The 21,031-nt window shown below is 40.4% G+C and overlaps 1 protein-coding gene across 1 annotated transcript in view; it reads right to left on the bottom strand.

The window, feature by feature from the left end:
- Positions 1 to 21,031, bottom strand: part of CLIC4 (chloride intracellular channel 4) — a 98,875-nt gene that overhangs the window by 16,261 nt on the left and 61,583 nt on the right. The window contains exons 3-4 of the mRNA NM_013943.3: positions 13,842 to 13,967; positions 945 to 1,051 (exon numbers count right to left, since the gene is read on the bottom strand). Coding sequence (NP_039234.1) covers positions 945 to 1,051; positions 13,842 to 13,967 — 233 coding nt within the window. The remainder of the gene's footprint in view (positions 1 to 944; positions 1,052 to 13,841; positions 13,968 to 21,031) is intronic.

Raw genomic sequence — 21,031 nt, 5'->3', positions numbered from 1 at the left:
TTCTTGTTCATTTGCTGACATAAACTTCTTCTCAAAAGAATCCCACTCAAGCTAGGAAACTATCTGGAACTATGATAAATATTTTTAGAAGCTAGCATTTTTGGTTATTGGGTTACTTTCAAATAAACACTAATGTGTGCTACACAGTTTTCCCCAGAGAGAACTCTGCTTAACATCCCGAAGAGAAAAGGAAATTACTAAATGCTGTAGTTAAGACAAGGTTCACTGAATGGAACCTCTTCCAAAGAGACCTCCCTACACTATACATTCATTTGGTGAATAAAATAATAAAAATAGTGTCCTTTAATAAATAAAAGAAAATTGCATCTGTACTACCTAAACAACTCTTACCGCGAAAACATGACTTGAAAATGAAATTCCAGCTTGAAGATGCAGAGAAATTTGGAAGGATAGTATGTCTAATTACCCTCTTAAAGCAACTCCAAACATTGCTCAAGGGTAATTAGCAAAAACAACAACAACAAAAACAAAACAAAGCAAAAAAAAAAAAAAAAAAACCTCAGACTGACTCTAGGCTGCAGGCACTCAACAATAAACATTTAGTTACAGTTTAAATTAAGCTCAACCAATCTATGCTAAACCACCACAACCACACAATCCACTGTTTCTGATGCACCATTAATTCTTTGCCTAGCTCCCTTCACAGTAACTTCTCAAAATAAGATGAAATAAACTTCATTCAAGAAGCATTTTATCACACACTTACTATATACTGTGCTACTAGCTAGAAACATGGAAAAATAGCAACATAGGGACTTATTCCAGTTTATTGTCCAATTTCTGACCAACTCTGAAAGACAGTTTTTATTACTTATGGGAATGGCTGGACTCTAAAGTACTCATTTATAATCACTGTCATAATAACAGCCTGTTGTTGTTTGGGGTTTTTTGTTGCAATGTTAATTCAAGTTTTTGTTTTTTACCTTCATTAGCCTCTGGCCTTGAATTCTTGATATATGCAGAGAATTTGGCAAAGATGTCCATTCCAGCAGTATTTGATTCTGGGTGTTTTGGTGAAAGCTTTAAGTACCTAAATAGAAAAAGTGATATGGATTATAGATCCTTCAAAGATGAATTAGCATAAGTTCTCTCAAACCACCATGCTAGCAGTTACTAGACGTCTTTTAATAGTTATTACTATAAGAAATACCATCATTTGTTTTCTATGGTATTTTTAAAAACTGTTTTTTCCTTACGAGACAAAGCTCTGCACTATGTTTTTGTTCACATATTAATATTCTTGGCAACCACAGGGCATGTGCACTCCACCTCCATCTGATAAATTAGAATGCTGGGGAAACAGTTGACTTGTTCAGAGATTTCTGCCAGGCCAATGGGAGTCTTGGAATGAGATTGCTAGAGCAGTGCTGTCCAAGAGAACTTTCTGTGATGATGGAAATGTTCTCTATCTTCATTGTCCAGTACAGTAGCCACTAGTGCCATGTACCTATTTGAATATGAATTTAAATTAATCACAAACAAAATTAAAAATTCACTTCCTCAGTTGCACTAGTCACATTTCAAGTGCTCAGTAGTCACCAGACAGCACAGCTCACGCGCCTTCTCAAACAGCAGTGCCAACCAGATCCTTAGTATGTCCTGCACTAAACCAGCCAGAGAACCCCAACGGCAGGAAAAGCGCCTAGGCTGGTCAAGCATCATGATCACCCATAGCAGGTTAAGGACAAAAACAAAAGGAGGCGGATCAATCGCTTGAAACCTACACCTGGGATTTCCCAAAACCTCCCTTATATTACACATTCCCTAGAATATTTATGAGGGTAGCACCGAACAACAACAAAATGAGATGTCAGAAAGCACACTGACAAGTGTTCTATTGTGTTGTCAAATTTTTCTACTTTTAGAACAGATGTAATACACCAGCTTTCTAAAACACACACAAAAATGTATATTTCACTGTTTAGATTTAAAACACACATACTCTGTGTATATTTCTTCTTCAAACTGGAAAATATATGAAAAAGCTCAATTATTCATCTTCCCTTTAGGAGGACTCATGTCAGCCCCAGGAGTCAGGGCTAGAAGAATTCAGATTCTTAGCCCCATTTTAGGGAAGATTAATCAGCTTGAAGGTCCTGCAAAACGTCACTAGAAAATGGACTTGGGAGCAATAAGACTTTAGAAAAAACCTTACAGTGTACTAATTATTTCAACTCATTTATTTGAAGACATTGTCTTGCCAGCTTTCTTTAAAAACGAAGGGGAAGTAGTTTTCAAAATTCAGTTCAGTTGCAAGTTGTGTTTCAGCTTTTATATTCATGTATCTTCTGTTTACTATTTTGAATTCAGGAAGAGATATATCTTCTAAATATTGGGCAGAGTACTATATTGGTAAGGAAGATATAAAATATCTATGGAACACCTATATGCTCAAGACATCTTTTTTAATAAGTGTACCTAGTCTCTAGATAGCTCTCATTTTTTAAGCTTAAAGATTTATCTTATAAACACAATTATTTACATAAAGAGTTTTTCTGTAAAAATTACAGTGAGTTTCACCTGAATTTAGATATCTATATCTATCTAGCCATACATTAACCACACATCGCCAACTATAGGGCCCTTTACCCTCTCCATTTTCTTTGTTTCTGCCTGGGCTGAAACAGTTAATCACAGATCCACCATCCCTGGATTTTCCTTGACTATACAAACAAGCCTCCAGTTTAAATGTTTGTACTGCTTGTGATACAGGACCATCATTGACTCATTTCAAACAAAAAATAGCGCAGTGAACATAATGCCTTTTCAATACATCTATGTCTTCCTATAGCCAAGTTTCCCAAATTCTCCTTTTCCGCAACCACTATTTAGCTGTACCTAATTGTACTAATGAAGTAAGCCTCATAGTTCTTAAAATAATTTTCGGGAAGGCAGGCTTGAATTACAGATCATTTATATATTCATCATTCATACATACAGTGTAATTCTTGTAATATGCCCTGTTGTCCCTCTGAGATGTATTACTAATTTTGTACTTTTGTGTGTGTGTGTGTGTGTGTGTGTGTGTGTGTGTGTGTGTGTGACAGGGTCTCCCTCTGTCACCCAGGGTGGAGTGTAGTGGCAGGATCTTGCTCACTGCAGCCTCAACCTCCTGGGCTCAAGCGATCCTCCCACCTCAGCCTCCTGAGTAGCTGGGACTACAGGCATGTGCCACCACACTTGGCTAGCTTTTTGTATTTTTTTGTAGAGACGAGGTTTCCCCATGTTGCCCAGGCTAGTGTTGAACTCCTGGGCTCAAGTGATCCTCCTGCCTCAGCCTCCCAAAGTGCTGGGATTACAGGCCTGAGCCACTGCACCCAGCCTGTACTATTAATTTAATGCACAGAATAGTATAGCTATAAGAGAATGTTCACCTCAGATCTCTCATTTTACCTAAAAGGAAATTATGTTCCAGAAAGCTTACACACTTGGCCCCCAAATCACTCAGCTAATTAAAAGTATTGACAAACGAGACCAAGCACAGTGGCTCATGCCTGTAATCCCAGCACTTTGGGATGCCAAGGTGGGCGGATCAATTGAGGTCAGGAGTTCGAGACTAGCCTGGCCAACATGGCAAAACTCTGTCTCCACTAAAAATACAAAAATCAGCCAGGCATGGTAGCGGGTGCCTGTAATCCCAGCTTCTCAGGAGTCTGAGGCAGGAGAATTGCTTGAGACCAGGAAGCAGAGGTTGCAGTGAGCAGAGATCATGCCACTGCACTCAGCCCGGGTGACAGAGCGAGACTGCGTCTCAAAAAAAAAAAGTATTGACAAACTAAAACTGAAATCTCCTGTCCCCAGGTCTAGTGTTTTTGTTTGTTTGTTTGTTTCTATTACAGATTAGATTATCTCTAAAAGATAAATCAAATTCTAAACCAGTAGGTTCAAAATCAACTTTTTTGCATCTTCCCCAAACATTACATTGTAATTTATGCATTATTATTGGCTTTAGCAAATAGCTTGATCAAGCAATGGTTTTCAATTATTGTGAGAACTCATTTTAACACTTAGCAAAAGGGAGGCAAATAATAAAAGGCTAAGTGTCAATGACAGAATAGACATGAGCACCCAGGGTATTTAGACTTTCAGATAAGTCCTTAATTCTGCTTACATCACAGACTCTTAACATTTTAGACTAGCTAAGAATGTTTCCATGCTTTTAGGAAAGATCTCAGGCATTTTCTCCTTTCTGGTGTAAATATAAAAATGAAGGCTGATTAGCCTTGTAAATTCCTTTTTTGTATGTCTTTTTTTTTTTTTTTTTTGAGACAGAGTTTTGCTCTTATTGTCCAGGCTAGAGTACAGTGGCGCAATCTCCGCTCACTGCAACCTCCGCCTTCCGGTTTCAAGCGATTCTCCTGCCTCAGCCTCCCAAGTCGCTGGGATTACAGGCGCCCGTCACCACGCCCAGCTAATTTTTTGTGTTTTTATTAGAAACAGGGTTTCACCATGTTGGTCAGGCTGGTCTCAAACTGCTGACCTCATGATCCACCCGCCTTGGCCTCCCAAAGTGCTGGGATTACAGGCGTGAGCTACCACACCCGGCCTGTATGTCTCATTTTTAAAAAAGGTTTAATAACATTTTATAGCATGCCCCTCCAAATTTATCTCGCTTCCTTCTATTTTATCCTTTTATCAGTAAGTTAGCTAAGTATATCTAGGCTGTTTCAGTTAAAAATCCAAGTCTCAAAGTTTTTTAGCAAAGTGGTTTCTTCATTCAAGCAAGAACTATAAAACATACACAAAAATACTTTCCCCAGAGAAGAAGAAAAAGTTCACTTTAAAACCTATAGCCACACATACCAGTAAAAGTTATCTGATTTGAGCTTTTCATTAGCCTCTCAATGTTAAGCAACTCTAGAATAGACAATTGCCTGTATTTATATTTGTCATGATTAAATCAGGAAGTGTTCACAAAAAACCACTCAGTTCTCAGTACATCAAATGACAAAAACATGTTATTAGAAATGCTAGATTCCAGTCTACAAGCTTGCACAATTCTTCTCCTTTTTCTCCTTATCCTATTTAGAAACAGTCTTACAAGCAGAGCCTGAAGAAGACTAGCAATAAAGACCTGAGACCTCCTTGTTCTGGAAGGAAAAGGCAGTGAGACAGAATGGTCCCTGGGTGCCCTAGAACAATATAGCACAATAGAGGGAAGGAAAATAAATGCAGCTTGTGATCCCAGAAACTCTTCCTCCTCCCACTCATCCCCTAGAAACAATTCTGCATGATGAAAATTATGCTAATTAATTAGCATTTCACATTCTGGGTCCATAGAGCCCACTAAGAAGGCGACATTCCCACTTCAAACATGCTGTTTCAATGCATACAAATAAATAAAAATTCATCAGAAGAGTTAAGATTCACCTGCTTTTTCAAAGCATTCACTGAATTAAGTAAGGGCAGGCACTGTGGCTCACACCTGTAATCCCAGCACTTTGGGAGGCCAAGGAGGTCGGATCACTTGAAGTCCCAGCCTGGCCAACATGGTGAAACCCCGTCTCTACTAAAAATACAAAAATTAGCCAGGCGTGGTGGTGCACATCTGTAATCCCAGCTACTCAGGAGGCTGAGGCAGGAGAATTGCTTCAACCTGGCAAGTGGAGGTTGCAATGAGCCAAGATGCTGCCACTGCACTCCAGCCTGGGCGACACAGCAAGGCTCTGCCTCAAAAAAAAAAAAAAAAAAAAAAAAAGAATTCACTGAATTAAGTTTAATAACCACCTTTGGTCCCACTTGTTCACAGTCAAGTAAACTATCTTTGATTTCTCTCCTACCTTTCCTCTAAACTTGAGCTAGCTTTCAATTTTGTACTCATTAAAGCACAATCCCAATTAAAGACTTAACATTTTCCCTCTTTTACAAAAGCCAAACCCAATAAAATAAGAAGCAGAAAGCAGAGAACAGATGAAACACAGATTTTTGAAGTCATATTGATGTGGCTTCAAAAGTATCCCTGCTCTGCCACCATTAACTGTGAAACCTTGGACAAATTATTTGGATTACATCTTCAGTTTCTTCACAAAGTCTTTGTGAGGATTAACAGAGATAATCCACAAAATAACCCACAAAGCACAATGCATGGTGCATAATTAGTACTTGAGTGTTATTAATAACAGCAGAGGGATAAGCAGCATCAAAAACAATCCCTGGCCAGGCACGGTGGCTCACGCCTGTAATCCCAGCACTTTGGGAGGCTGAGGTGGGCAGATGGCTTGAGCCCAGGAGTTCAAGGCCACAGCTTGGGTAACACGGCGAGACCCTGTTCTCAGACTCCAATTGAAAGTGATCTTACTCTCAACAAAAAAAATACAAAAATTAGCCAGGCGTGGTGGTGTGCACCTGTACTCCCAGCTACTCAAGAGGCTGAGGCAGGAGGATTATGAGCCTGGGAGGTTGAGGCTGCAGTGAGGTAAGATTGCACCACCGCATTCCAGCCTGGGTGACAGAGCAAGGAGTGAGACCCTGTCTCTAAACAAAAACAGAACAAAACAAAGAAAAAACAAAGAAGAAGTAAAAATTTTTACCCCTACAGGGGATTTGGCACACTATGAACATTTATAACACAAAGATTCCTATGTATTTAAACTGAATGAAAAAGACCATCTCTGGTTACAATGTTTCTATGAATATGCTCAAATATAATGGGGCTAGAATTTTTATATAAAAAAGCAATATGAAAATGTTTGTTTTCAAGGTCCAATTTAAAGCTATGATGTCTTACAGAGCATTAGATGCTAAGAATCCAGAATATTCCATATTAACTTTACTATTTCTCTTAATGTCACTTTCCCTCAGAGAGAAATGAGCAAGAATAATGAAAATTCTTTTTTTTTTTCCTTCTTCTTTTTTGAGACAGGGTCTTGCTGTATCGTGCAGGCTGGAATGCAGTGGCATGATCTCAGCTCACTGCAACCTCTGCCTCCCAGGCCCAAGCAATCCTCCCACCTCAGGCTCCCCAGTAGCTGGGACTACAGGCACTTGCCACCATATCCAGCTAATTTTTGTATTTTTTTGTAGAGACAGGGTTTCACCATGTTGCCCAGGCTGGTCTTGAACTCCTGAGCTCAAGTCATCCACCCGCCTCAGTCTCCCAAAGTGCTGGGATTACAGGCATGAGCCACCGCGCCCAGCCCAAAAGTCTTCATTGTTGTTGTTGCTGAAGGATGTAAGAGAATATGAGGAAATGTCCATTTAACTAAAGTCATATGTATGTTTTCAGCACACTAATTTTAAAAACTTATATATACTTGGAAGAATTTATATAATAAGCACTTCAGACAATACTTTAAAACAAAATAGTTTCCTTCATAGAGAATGAATAATAATTCAAACTACTTCTCCATTTATAATTTAATGTTGATACAATGATCTACAGTGACATGAGAGGAAGATCATTTTCAGTTAGTGTCTGAGAGCAAGTTGGCAAATATGGAACCTACCTCTGAGCTGACACTTTTAAGACTAAAAAGGGACCAGTCATGACAGCTTACATGTGTAATCCCAGCAATTTGGGAGGCTGAGGCAGGAGGACTGATTGTGTCCATGAGTTTGAGACCAACCTGGGCAACATAGCAAGACCCCATCTCTACAAAAATTTTTTTAAACTTAGCTGGGCATGGTGGCACACACCTGTACTCCCAGTGCCTCAGGGGAATTGCTTGAGCCCAGGAGGTCGAGGCTGTGGTGAGCCATAATCACACCACTGCACTCCAGCCTGGGCAACAGAGCAAGACCATGTCTCAAAAAAAAAAAAAAAAAAAAAAAAAGACCAAAAAGGGACCTAGAAGTGGGACATAGGGTGCATGCCTGTGGTCCCACTTATTTGGAAGGCTGAGGCAGGAGGATCATCCTAGGCAGGAGGCTAGGAGTTCAAGGTTGCAGTGAGCCAGGACAGCAACACTGCACTCCAGCCTGGGCGACAGTACAAGATACTGTCTATATATATATATATATACATATATATATACATACTTTTTTTTTTTTTTTGAAGTATGGCTGGGCGCGGTAGCTCATGCCTGTAATCCCAGCACTTTGGGAGGCTGAGGTGGGCAGGTCACAAGGTCAGGAGTTCAAGAGCAGCTTGGCCAATATGGTAAAACCCTGTCTCTACTAAAAATACAAAAAAAATTAGCAGGGCATGGTGGCGGGCACCTGTAATCCCAGCTATTCAAGAGACTGAGGCAGGAGAATCGCTTGAACCCAGGAGGCGGAGGTTGCAGTGAGTCGAGATTGTGCCACTGCACTCCAGCCTGGGCGACAGAGAGACTCTGTCAAAAAAAAAAGAAAAAAAGTTATGGTCAGGCGCGGTGGCTCATGCCTGTAATCCCAGCACTCTGGGAGGCCGAGGCGGGTGGATCACCTGAGGTCCAGAGTTCGAGACCAGCCTGGCCAACATGGTGAAATCCCATCTCTACTAAAAACAGAAAAAATTAGCTGGGCATAGTGGTGGACGCCTGTAATTCTAGCTACTTGGGAGGCTAAGGCAGGAGAATCTCCTGAACCTGACAGGCAGAGGTTGCAGTGAGCCAAGATCATGCCATTGCACTCCAGCCTGGGCAACAAAAGTGAAACTCCGTCTCAAAAAAAAAAAAAAAGTTATTTCCACTAAGTTGAATTCATGTTCACAATAGTACCCTACTGAGACGTATAAAGCTTCAATTTATATTCACAAATATCCTAGCTTTGATTTATTGGCATTCTAATTATATGCATGGCCTGAAGGAAAAATCAAGACATGGTTTTCTTAATGTTGGTCTGGAGATACTTTACTGGGGATGAAAGGAAGGTTAGGACTCCTGGGAAGGTAGAGAAAAAAAGAAGCTCCAGGCTCTTAGAAGGGCAGGAAGGATAGTAGAGGATAGGCTTGTAGAATTTTAGTAGAAAAAAAGAATTAAGAAAATAAAATATTAGGCTTAGCACAAGATTGTTAACCAGAGGGCAATTCTGCTCACAACAGATGAGAAGCTAGTTATAGACAGAGGTGTTGTTGCTCATCAGCCTTCCTGCCTACCATCCCAACCATGCACATCACATTCCAGCCACTCCAAGTCTCCCCCAAATATACATATAATATTAATAATAATATACATTACATACTATTTCTGTATAGTATGTGTATAACATATATGTTTATACTATTGATTTAAAATGACTCTTCTGCTCTGGAATACCTGTCACTCCTTTGTTCAACTGCTGAACATCTTTTTTCTTTTTTTTTTTTTAAATTAAGACAGTTCAAGTGTTCTCTCTTCTCTAAAGCCTTTCCTGATTCCATTCACTTCCCCGTCCCACCACCATAAACACCTCTCCACCCATACATGACTGTACTTGTTGAGGGCAAGAACTGTGTTTTATTTACTAATATATTCACAGTGCTTTGTAGTCCATTAATGCTTTGCAGAATGAATAAATCAATAAATAAATGAATGGATGAATACTGAGTAACTGGGCCAGGTACAGTGGCTCACACCTGTAATCCCAGCACTTTGAGAGGCCGAGGTGGGCGGATACCTTGAGGTCAGGATTTCGAGACAAGCCTGGCCAACATGGTGGAACCCCATCTCCACTAAAAATACAAAAATTAGCCAGGCATGGTGGCAGGTGCCTGTAATCCCAGCTACTTGGGAGGCTGAAGCACAAGAATCACTTGAACCCAGGAGGCAGAGGTTGTAGTGAGCCAAGATTGTGCCACTGCACTCCAGCCTGGGTGACAGAGTGAGCCTCTGTCTCAAAAAAAACAAAACAAACAAAAAAAAACCAAATTGAGTAACTTCAGGTATAACTTGTCTTATTGTGCTTTGCTTTATTGAGCTTTGCTTCATTGTGCTTTGCAGATATTACGTTTTTTACAAATTGAAGGTTTATGGCACCCTGAGTCAAGCAAGATGGCGCCATTTTTCCCAGCAGCATGTGCTCACTTCATGTCTCTGTCACACTGTGGTATTTTTCGCAATATTTCAAAACTTTTCATTATTATTGTATCTGTTATGATGATCTGTGATTAGTGATCTCTGATGTTACTCTTGTAATTGTTTTGGGGGCACCACAAACCACACCCATATAAGACAGCACACTTAACTGATTAATATCATATGTGTTCTGACTGCTCCAGTGATTGCTGTTCCCCTGTCTTTCCCTCTCCTCAGGCCTTCCTGCTCCCTGAGACAAAATAATGTTGAAATTAGCCCACAGTTGATGACCCTACAATGACCTCTCAGTGTTCAGGTGAAGGGAAGAGTCACATATCTCTCACTTTAAATCAAAAGCTAGAAATGATTCTGCTTAGTGAGGAAAGCATGTCGAAAGCTGAGACAGGCCAAAAGCTGAGATAGGCTGAAAGCTAGACTTCTTCCACCAAACAGCCAAACAGCATATACAGAAGAAAAGTTCTTGAAGGAAATTTAATAGTGCTATTCCAGTGAACACACAAATGATAGAGAAAAACAGCTTTATTGCCAATAGGGAGAAAGTTTGAGTGGTCCAGATAATCAAACCAGCCACAGCATTCCCTTAAGCCAAAACCTAATCCAGATCAAGGCCCTAACTCACTTCAGTTCTATCAAGGCAGAGAGAGGTGACAAATCTACAGAAGAAAGTTTGAAGGTAGCAGAGGTTGGTTCGTGAGGTTTAAGGAAAGAGGCCATCTTTGTAACATAAAAGTAAAACATGAAGCAGCAAATGCTTATGCAGAAGCTGCATGCAGCCAGTTATCTAGAAGATCTAGCTGATCTATCTAGAAGATCTAGCTGATCTATCTAGAAGATCTAGCTGATCTATCTAGATCTTCCTTCATCACCTTCATCTGATGATCTATCTAGAAAATCTGATCTACCTTCAACAATGATCTATCTAGAATTGATCTTCTAGATAGATCATTGATGAAGGTGGCTACACTAAACAGATTTTTAATGCAGACAAAACCTTCTATTGAAAGATGTCATCTATGATTTTCATAGCTACAGAGAAAAAGTCAACGTCTGGTTTCAAATCTTCAAAGGACAGGCTGACTCTGTTAAGAGTCTAATCCAGCTGTTGACATTAGGTTGAAACCCATGCTCATCTTCCATTCCAAAATTTGAAGAACCCTTAAGAATTATACTGAAGCTACTCTACAGATGCTCTATAAATGGAACAATAAAGCCTGGATAATGGCACATCCATCTGTTCACAGTATGGTTTACTAAATATTTTAAGCCCACTGTTGAGACCCACTGCCCAGGAAAAAAAGATTCCTTTCTAAATATTACTGCTCATTGACAATGCACTAGTCCCCCCAGAACTCTGATAGAGATATACAGGGAGATCATGGTTGTTTTCATGCCTGCTAACACAACATCCATTCTGCAGTCCATAAATTTTGACTTTCAAGTCTTATTATTTAATAAACACATTTCATAAGGCCATAGAAAGTGATTCCTCTGATGGATCTGAGCAAAGCAAAGTGACCTGGAAAAGATTTACCTTTCTAGATGCAATTAAGAACATTCAGCCAGGTCTGGTGGCTCATACCACACCTGTAATCCCAGCACTTTGGGAGGCCGAGACGGGCGGATCATCTGAGGTCAGGAGTTCAAGACCAGCCTGGCCAAAATGGCAAAACCCCAACTCTACTAAAAAATACAAAAAAATTAGCTGGTCATGGCGGCAGGCACCTGTAATCCCAGCTACTCAGGAGGCTGAAGCAGGAGAATTGCTTGAACCTGGGAGGTGGAGGTTGCAGTGAGCCGAGATCGCATCACTGCACTCCAGCCTGGGCGATAAGAACGAAAACTCCGTCCAAAAAAAAAAAAAAAAAAAAAACACGAACATTCATGATTCATGGGAGGAGGTCAAAATAGCAACATTAACAGGAGTTTGGAGGAAGTGGATTCTAACCCTCATGGACGACATTCACAGGTTCAAGACATCAGTGGAGGGAGGAACTACATATGTGTTGAAAATAGCAAGAGAACTAGAATTAGAACTGGAGCCTGAAAATGTAATCAAATTGTTCTACCTTCATAATAAAATTTGAATGGATGAGGAGTTGCTTCTTATGATGAGCAAAGAAAATGGTTTCTTGAGATAGAATGTATACCTAGTGAAGATGCTAAGAACATTGTTGAAATGACAACAAGGAATTTAGAATATTACATCGACTTAGTTGTTAAAACAGCAGGAGGGTTTCAGAAGATGGATTCTAATTTTGAAAAAGGTTCTACTGTGGGTAAAAACACTATCAAACAGGGGTGCATGTTCTCAGGACCTCTTGAGATTAGCCTCAGGCAAAGAATATTTACTTTAAAATTTTTAAATGCTATCAAACACTATTGCATGTTACAGAGAAATCTTTCATGAAAGGAAGAGTCCATCAATGTAGAAAAATTCATTGTTATCTTACTTCAAGAAATTGCCACAGCCACCCCAACCAGCAATCACCATTCTGATCGGTCAGTAGCCAGCTACATCAAGGCAAGACCCTCCATCGGCAAAAAGATTGACTCGCTGAAGGCTCAGATAACCATTAGCATTTTTTAGCAATGATTTTTTTTTGAGACGGAGTTTTGCTTTTGTCACCCAGGCTGGAGTGCAGTGGCACGATCTTGGCTCACTACAACCTCTGCCTCCCTGGTTCAAGCAATTCTCCTGCCTCAGCCTCCCGAGTAGCTGGGATTACAGGTGCCTGCCACCACGCCCAGCTAATTTTTTTTGTATTTTTTAGTAGAGACGGGGTTTCTTCATGTTGGTCAGACTGGTCTCGAACTCCCAACCTCAGGTGATCCATCCGCCTCAGCCTCCCAAAGTGCTGGGATTACAGGCATGAGCCACCACACCCAGCCTAGCAATGAAGTATTTTTAAATTAAGGTACATGCAATATTTTCAGACATAATGCTATTATTGCACACTTAAAACACTACAGTATACTACTGTAAATATAACTTTTACATGCACTGGGAAACGAAAAATTTCACGTGACTCATTTTATTCCAATATTCATTTTATCACTGTGGTCTGGAACCTAACTCGCAATGGTCTGGAACCATACCCTTCAGGGTATGCCTATAATTATTTTAGAACCCTCCATCTCAATAATCCCATTCCTGGAAAATATATCTGGACATGGAGGGCAACAGTCAAGTTAACCAGTAAGAAAGGTTTTGGTCAGTAGAAACAAAACATGTCAATTTTCAGGATAATGAAACTGGAAAAGCCTAAAAGAAACAAATAATGCTTTGAATCTATGCCAATATTACAGTATGATGCAAAGCTGCATATCTGCAATTTAGGTAACTATCATTACAGTACATCCAGGACCTAGAGATCTGGAACACCTCAAAGAAGTAAGTAAATAAAAACTCTGAATCCTAGGGACACAGTCGGAAAAGTCAATGTCCTTGGATTATAGCTTTAGAAAGTTACCTTTAAAATGAACTGAAATCAAATCTCATTGCAGTCCTGTGCCACACTCCTGCTAAGACATTCTTACTGGGTTCAGTTGGAATGTGTCTTTCCCCACCCCTTCTCCTCTTTAAACTTCTCTCTCAGTTTGAGACCTACAGTCCACAAATAACCAGTCTTTCCTGACCTATCAGACACATCCCAAATCTGTTTCTACCACATATTCTACAGCTTAGACAAATCCCCACCTTTCTTAGTATGGCTGATTGGCCTAGCTGGAAGCCAATTCTTATATCTGTGTAGCATTAATTATAAGAAACATAGAAGAGAGTCCTAGTCATTCCAAATTAATGCTGCGAGAAAGATCTCTACTGACAAATAACACAAGCTTCAAAGAAGTGACAATATTTTCATACGTATTTTCCTTGATACTCACTTGGGAGGGCATAAGACTTCTTCAAGAAATTCCTCAATCTTATTTACATCCGTTTTGACTTCACTGTTGAAAGTTATAAATGGTGGGTGGGTCCCGGGAGCCAAGTTCTGCAGGTCTGCTGGCTTCCTGTTGGGCAAAATATTGGTCAAAATCAGATCATTTTTTACTCTTAAACAACAATAATACTTTAAATTCTCAAAGTTGGCCAGGCACGGTGGCTTGCGTCTGTAGTCGTAGCACTACAGGAGGCTGAGGTGGGACACTGCTTAGCCCAGGAGTTTGAGACCCAGCCTGGGCAACATGGTAAGATCCTGTCTCCACAAAACATAAAAAATTAGCCAGGCATGGTGGTGCGTGTCTATAGTACCAGCTACCAGGGAGGCTGAGGTGGAAGGATCACTTGAGCCTGGGAAGTTGAGGCTGGAGTGAGCCATGATCGCACCACTGCACTCCAGCCTGGGCGACAGAGAGACCCTGTCTCAAAAAGAAAATAAATAAATTGTCCGGGCATGGTGGCTCATGTCTGTAATCCCAGCCCTTTGGGAGGCCGAGGCGGGTGGATCACCTGAGGTCAGGAGTTTGAGACCAGCTTGGCCAGCATGGTGAAACCCCATCTCTGCTAAAAATATAAAAATTAGCTGGGCATGGTGGTGCGCACCTGTAGTTCCAGCTACTTGGGAGGCTGAGGAAGGAGGATCACTTGAACCCGGGAGGCGGAGGTTGCAGTGAGCTGAGAATGTACCACTGCACTCCAGCCTAGGTGACAGAGTAAAACCCTGTCAGAAAAGAAAAAGAAAAAGAGAAAAAGAAAAAGAAAAGAGATCAAAGTGGTTCTAAAATTTAAAGTATATAAAACTGAATAAGAAATGGTATTTTTCAGCCGGGCACGGTGGCTCACGGCTGTAATCCCAGCACTTTGGGAGGCCAAGGCAGGAGGATCACGAGGTCAGAAGTTTGAGACCAGCCTGACCAACATGGTGAAACCCCATCTCTACTAAAAATACAAAAGTTAATTGGGCGTGGTGGCATGTGCCTGTAATCCCAGCTACTCAGGAGGCTGAGGCAGGAGAATCGCTTGAATCCCGGAAGCAGAGGCTGCAGTCAGCAGAGATCTCACCACAGCACTCCAGCCTGGGCGACAGAGCAAGACTCCATCTTAAAAAAAAAAAAAAAGAAAGAAAGAAAGAAAGAAAGGTATTTTTCAACCAGGTGTGGTGGCTCACGCCTCTAATCCCAGCATTTTGGGAGGCCAAGGTGGGCAGATCATGAGGTCAAGAGATTGAGACCCTCCTGGCCAACATGGTGAAACTCCGTCTCTGCTAAAAATATAAAAATTAGCTGGGCATGGTGGCATGCACCTGTAGTTCCAGCTACTTGGGAGGCTGAGGAAGGAGAACCACTTGAACCCGGGAGGCGGAGGTTACAGTGAGCCAAGATCGCACCACTGCACTCCAGCCTGGTGACAGAGCAATACTCTGTCTCAAAAAAAAGAAAGAAATAGTACTTTTCCACTAGATATAATAGCTGTAATAGTATTCTAATAAGAAGCAAGCCTCCACAAAATACATAATTTATGGTAAGAAAATGCTTTGATTTTTTTTTTAACCAAAATACAAAATCCATCATTCTCATTCCAAATTAACTAAGTCACTCATTAGAGATAGTGATAGAATGAGGAGGGAAAAAAGATTTTGGAGAGTTAGTGTCTGGTTTCAACTCTGGCCCCAACTAATTGTGTAAAGATGGGTAAGTCATGACTTCCCTAGGCCTTTTTTTTTCTTTTTGGCAAAATAAAAGAGAAAAGCAGCTGAATCCTGCAGTCATCTTCAACTTCAAAAGATTCCAAATTCTGGTGCTATTTCTTTCCCATTATTCTAGAAGTCCAGGCTTGACAAGGAAAAGGATCACCAGATTAGACTATCTAATATCAAAATTACTTCAATACATAAAAGATGGCATAATGAAGGGTAAAAAGCAACAAAGAATGGACAAAGTACTGAGTGAGAAAAGCTTAAAATCTACATTACCTAAGGATTTTGTCCAAATTCATTCCAAAGGTCATCAAAAAAATCAAATAGGTATGGGTCAAAAGAAATTGATGAGAGACAGATAAAACAAGTGAACACACAGAAAAATGTAAAATAGCACAACTATAAAGGGAATTTAAAAGTAAACAATAAGATGTCTTCCTCCTGTTGATTAGGAAAAATTGAAAACACCACAAAACACTGATAAAGATGGTGAAACTGTTATGCTGACAACTACTAACAGCAAGAAGTGTTTGTACTATCTTGTTAAAAAAGCAAAATGGCTCACCCAAACCCACCAATGAATTTTAGGATCAAAAAATGAGATGACCAGATATGGTGTGTTTCCTATGGCACCATGAAGTATTCTTACCAAAGAAGTTGACCCTGAATCTAATCAAGCCTCTGGGGCAGGCTGGGTGCAGTGGCTCATACCTGTAACATTAGCACTTTGAGAGGCCAAGGCAGGAGGATTGCTTGAGTCCAGGAGTTCAAGCGAGACCAGCCTGGGCAACATAGTGAGATCCCATCTCTATAAAAAAATTTTTTTTAATTAGCTGGGTGTGGTGGCATGTGCCTGTAGTCCCAGCTACTTGGGAGGCTGAGATGGGAGGATTGGTTGAGCCCAGGCGGTCGAGGCTGCAGTGAACAGTGATCATATCACTGCACTTCAGCCTGGGCAACAGAGTGAGACCCTGTCTCAAAACAACAACAACAACAAACCAAAACAAAGCAGCCTCTGGGGCAGCTGTTTCTCAAATTGTAAGCCAGGAGACCCTTTCACCAGGTGATCCATTAGGTCAGAACTATTCTTATAATACTAAGGCATCATTTGCCTTTTTCACTCTCATTCTCCTCTCGTGCACATATAGTAAAATTTTCCAAATTTACTTGGCTACTTGGTACAAGATATCACAAGGTAATGAATGCAGAAGCAGACACGAGAAACCTCTTCTAAGATGTGCAAAAATGTAAAAGAATGCCACTCTTCTCACTATTTTTTGTTTTGGGAAATATAGTTGTTTTACATTAAAAATGTTTTATGGTAATAAGTAGTGGGTTCATTATTGTTCTATATTTAATGAATTAGTAAATGATTTTTTTTTTTTTTCCTGAGACAGAGTCTCACTCTGTCGCCCAGGCTGAAGTGCAGTGGTGCGATCTCGGCTCACTACAAGCTCCATCTCCCAAGTTCACGCCATTCTCCTGCCTCAGCCTCCCAAGTAGCTGGGACTACAGGCGCACACCAAGCCCAGCTAATTTTTGATGTATTTTTTAGTAGAGACAGGGTTTCACCATGTTAGTCAGGATGGTCTCCTGACCTCATGATCCGCCCACCTCGGCCTCCCAAAGTGCTGGGATTACAGGTGTGAGCCACCGTACCCGGCCATAAATAAACATTTTTAAAATTTCTCAGGATTTTTTTTTTTTGAGACCAGTCACCAAAGCAGGAGTGCAGTGTCACAATCATGGTTCCCTGCAGCCTTGATTTCCTAGGCTCAAGCAATTCTCCTACCTCAGCCTCCCAAGCAGCTGGGACCAGAGGCACACTCCATCAAGCCCAGCTAATTTTTAAAAAATTTTTTGTAGAGATGAGGATCTCACCATATTGCCTAGGCTAATTTCTCAACTTTAATTTCTAATATAGTAAAATAGGTAGATATAACCCACATAACTGAAAGCTGTTTGAGGCCTTCAATAATTTAAGAGTACAAAGGGGTCCTGAGATTATTTACAGGAAATGCAGGGAGGGGGAAAATGAGAGGACAAAGTTAAATGCTACCACAAGGAAGCAACTGCTAAATTCTGGATTTGGGACAATCTACCTTTCAGCTGAATGGTATTTTTACCAGACACAGGTGGGGGACTGTTATAGATTAAGAAAAACTTAAGAGATATAACAATCAAACATAAAAAGTAGAAATTACTTGGATACTGATTTGAACAAACCAACCAAAAATAAAAAGATATTTTAGAGATAACCAGGGAAATCCCAAATTGTATACTAGGAACTTCAGGAGATCAGAGCATTGTGGTTAGGGAAGAAAATGTCCACATTGTTTGAAGACATACACTGAATTAAGTAGGGATGAAACGACATGATGTCTAGCATTTACTTTAAAACATTTCAGCAAAGAAAATCAGAAAAAAGGGGCAAAGCAAATGTGGCAAGATCTTGATAACTGAATTGGGTTTACGGAGAAGTTTATTCTATTCTTATGCATGTTTGAAAACTTTCATAATTATAAAAGCAAACATAAAAATGTGTACTTCAAGAAAAGTAATACAACAACATATAGTTTCAAAGAATGTTTCTGCCTCCTATTATAGCCCAGAGCTGTTTATCTTGTTATTAAGTTAGCCTGCCTGCCTTCCTTCTTCCTTCCTTCCTGACCATAAATGCACAGAATTTGAATAAAATAAAGAATATTGGCTGGGCATGGTGGCTCATGCTTGTAATCCCAGCACTTTGTGAGGCCGAAGCGGGTGGATCACCTGAGGTCAGGAGTTTGAGACCAACCTGGGCAACATGATGAAACCCCATCTCTACTAAAAATATAAAAATTAGCTGGGTGTAGTAGTGCATGCCTATAGTCCCAGCTACTCGGGAGGCTGAGGCAGAATTGCTGGAAGGCGGAGGTTACAGTGAGCTGAGATTGCACCACTGCACTTCAGCCTGGGCGACAGAGTGAGACTCTGTCTCCAAAAATAGTATTTTTAAATATATCATGAAAGTGAAATACTTCGTCATCAGAATTTTCAAGATAGAGGGGAATCAAAAATCTATAACCAGTTTATAATCTATCAATTTCCCTTGGTCTTATTCATATTCTCTCTCTGGCTCCATCTTTCAATTTAGGTTAGAAAGCCTCAGGTTTCTATGACTACATTCCAACCAAAGAAACAAAGATTTATTTAATTATCTCATTAATTTAAAATTTTTAACTCAAAGTCCAAGTTCTAGAGCCTATCTTGCTTCCTAAACAAAGAAAAATAAGACATATTTCCTATCAACTTCTGTAAGAACCTAACCTCCAAAAGAGGACTTTTAAAAGTCAAAACCTGATTTGATTTTCAACTCTGATGCTTTCACTGAACATTCTTTAGTCTGACAAGCTCAAGTTTTTCACAAAATGAAATAAGTCAGCCCTCCTTATTCATGGGTTCAGCATCTGTGGATTCAACCAACTGAGGATCAAAAATATTTTTTAAAAGGCCATGTGCAGTGGCTCACGTCTGTAATCCCAACACTTTGGGAGGCCGAGGCATGCAGATCACTTGAGGTCGGGAGTTTGAGACCAGCCTGGCCGACATTGTGAAACCCTGTCTCTACTAAAAATAAAAAAAATTAGTCAGGCGTGGTGGTGGGTGCCTGTAGTCCTAGCTACTTGGGAGGCTAAGGCAGGAGAATCGCTTGAACCCGAGAGGCGGAGGTTGCAGTGAGCCGAGATCGCGCCACTGCACTCCAGCCTGGGTGACAGAGTGAGACTCCATCTCAAAAAAAAAAAAAAAATTTTATAGATAGATAGATAGATCTCCCATCTCTACAAAAAATACAAAAATTAGCCAGGCGTGTTGCACATACTACTTGGAAGGCTGAGGCGAGCCATGATCACACACTGTACTCCAGCCTGGGCGACAGAATGAGACCCTGTCTCAAAAAAAAGGGCGGCAGGGCGGGGGCGGGGGCGGTTGCAGTTGTACTGAACATGTACAGACTTTTTCTTGTCATTATTCCCTAAACACAGTGTAATGACAACTTACATAGCATTTACACTGTATTAGGTATTATAACCTAGAGATGATTTAAAGTATATGGGAGGCTATTTGTAGGTTAATATGCAAATACTATTCCATTTTATATAAGAAACTTGAGCATCTGTGGATTTTGGTATCCACCAGGGGTCCTTGAACCAATCCCCCATGGATACCAAGAGATGACTGTAGACCGGGCACAGTGGCTCATGTCTATAATCTCAGCACCTTGGCAGGCCAAGGCGGGCGGATCAGCTGAGGTCAGGAGTTCCAGCCCAGCCTGGCCAACATGGCGAAACACCATCTCTACTAAAAATACAAAATTAGCCAGGCATAGTGGCGCACGCCTGTAATCCCAGTTAGGAGGCTGAGGAAGGAGAATTGCTTGAATCCGGGAGGTGAAGGTTGCAGTGAGCTGAGATTGTGCCATTGCATTCCAGCCTGGGCAACAAGAGCAAAATTCCATCTCAAAAAAAAAAAAAAGGAATGTTTTTTAATCTTGTCATATATAAATTGTGATTACCTGGAAAACAATTTTCTCACTCCAAATTCATAAAACATATCCATTAACATTTTTATAATGAACAGTCAATTAAATGCCTAACTGTAAGTTAATAATATAAGTCTGTTTTTCACAAACAGTTTTTTTTAAGAACACGGTAGATTAGATAAAGGGGAAGAAGGTCTTGTTAGATATGAGTTCTAAATTTCTTTTCAAATAATCAATATGTCAGTATGTTCAATTCCTCACCTTCTGCTTTTAAATTTAACTTCCTCATAAAGTGACCATTTTCGATTACCTGCTCCACCCTGACTCATTCCAATTACCTGCTCTGTCATAACCATTTTTCTGGCCAAACCACTCACCCGGTGACTCTCTTTAAATTAGCCAATCAGAATTACTTTAGTCTGTGCGGTCTAACCCTAGCCAATAGGGGAAAGACACAGCAGCAGGGGCCACGTGAGTCAGGGATAAAAACCCCTTCCCCTACCTTATCCAAGTGTGTGCTCACCATTGCTCCATGTGTAAGAGCGCACCCTTCTATAGAAGTAACTTGCCTTGCTGAGAATTAAAAAGAAAATTTTATATTCAAGTGTTATTTCTTTTGCAGCACCAAAAATTTATTTGTAACAGTCTCAATGCTTTAAAAAAAAAAAACAAACCCAAAGGGGTAGGTCGGGTAGGGCATGTGGGACAAAATAAATAACACCTATTACTTCTATAATTAATTATGAAAGTTTTTAAGCTCTCTAAACAGAAAGATTCTTAATTTTTTAAATTTTTATTCAATTTTCTTTTTTTTTAGAGATGGGGGTCTCTCTCTCTTGCTATGTTGCCCAGGCTGTCCTCAAACTCCTGGTCTCAAATGATCCTCAGCTGCAAGTAGCTGGGACTAGAGAGCACGC

Source organism: Homo sapiens, chromosome 1 (genome assembly GCF_000001405.40).
Source record: "Homo sapiens chromosome 1, GRCh38.p14 Primary Assembly".
Classification (NCBI taxonomy): Eukaryota; Metazoa; Chordata; class Mammalia; order Primates; family Hominidae; genus Homo; species Homo sapiens.
Note: the sequence above shows the minus strand (reverse complement) of the source record. Positions and strands in the feature narration are given on the sequence as shown.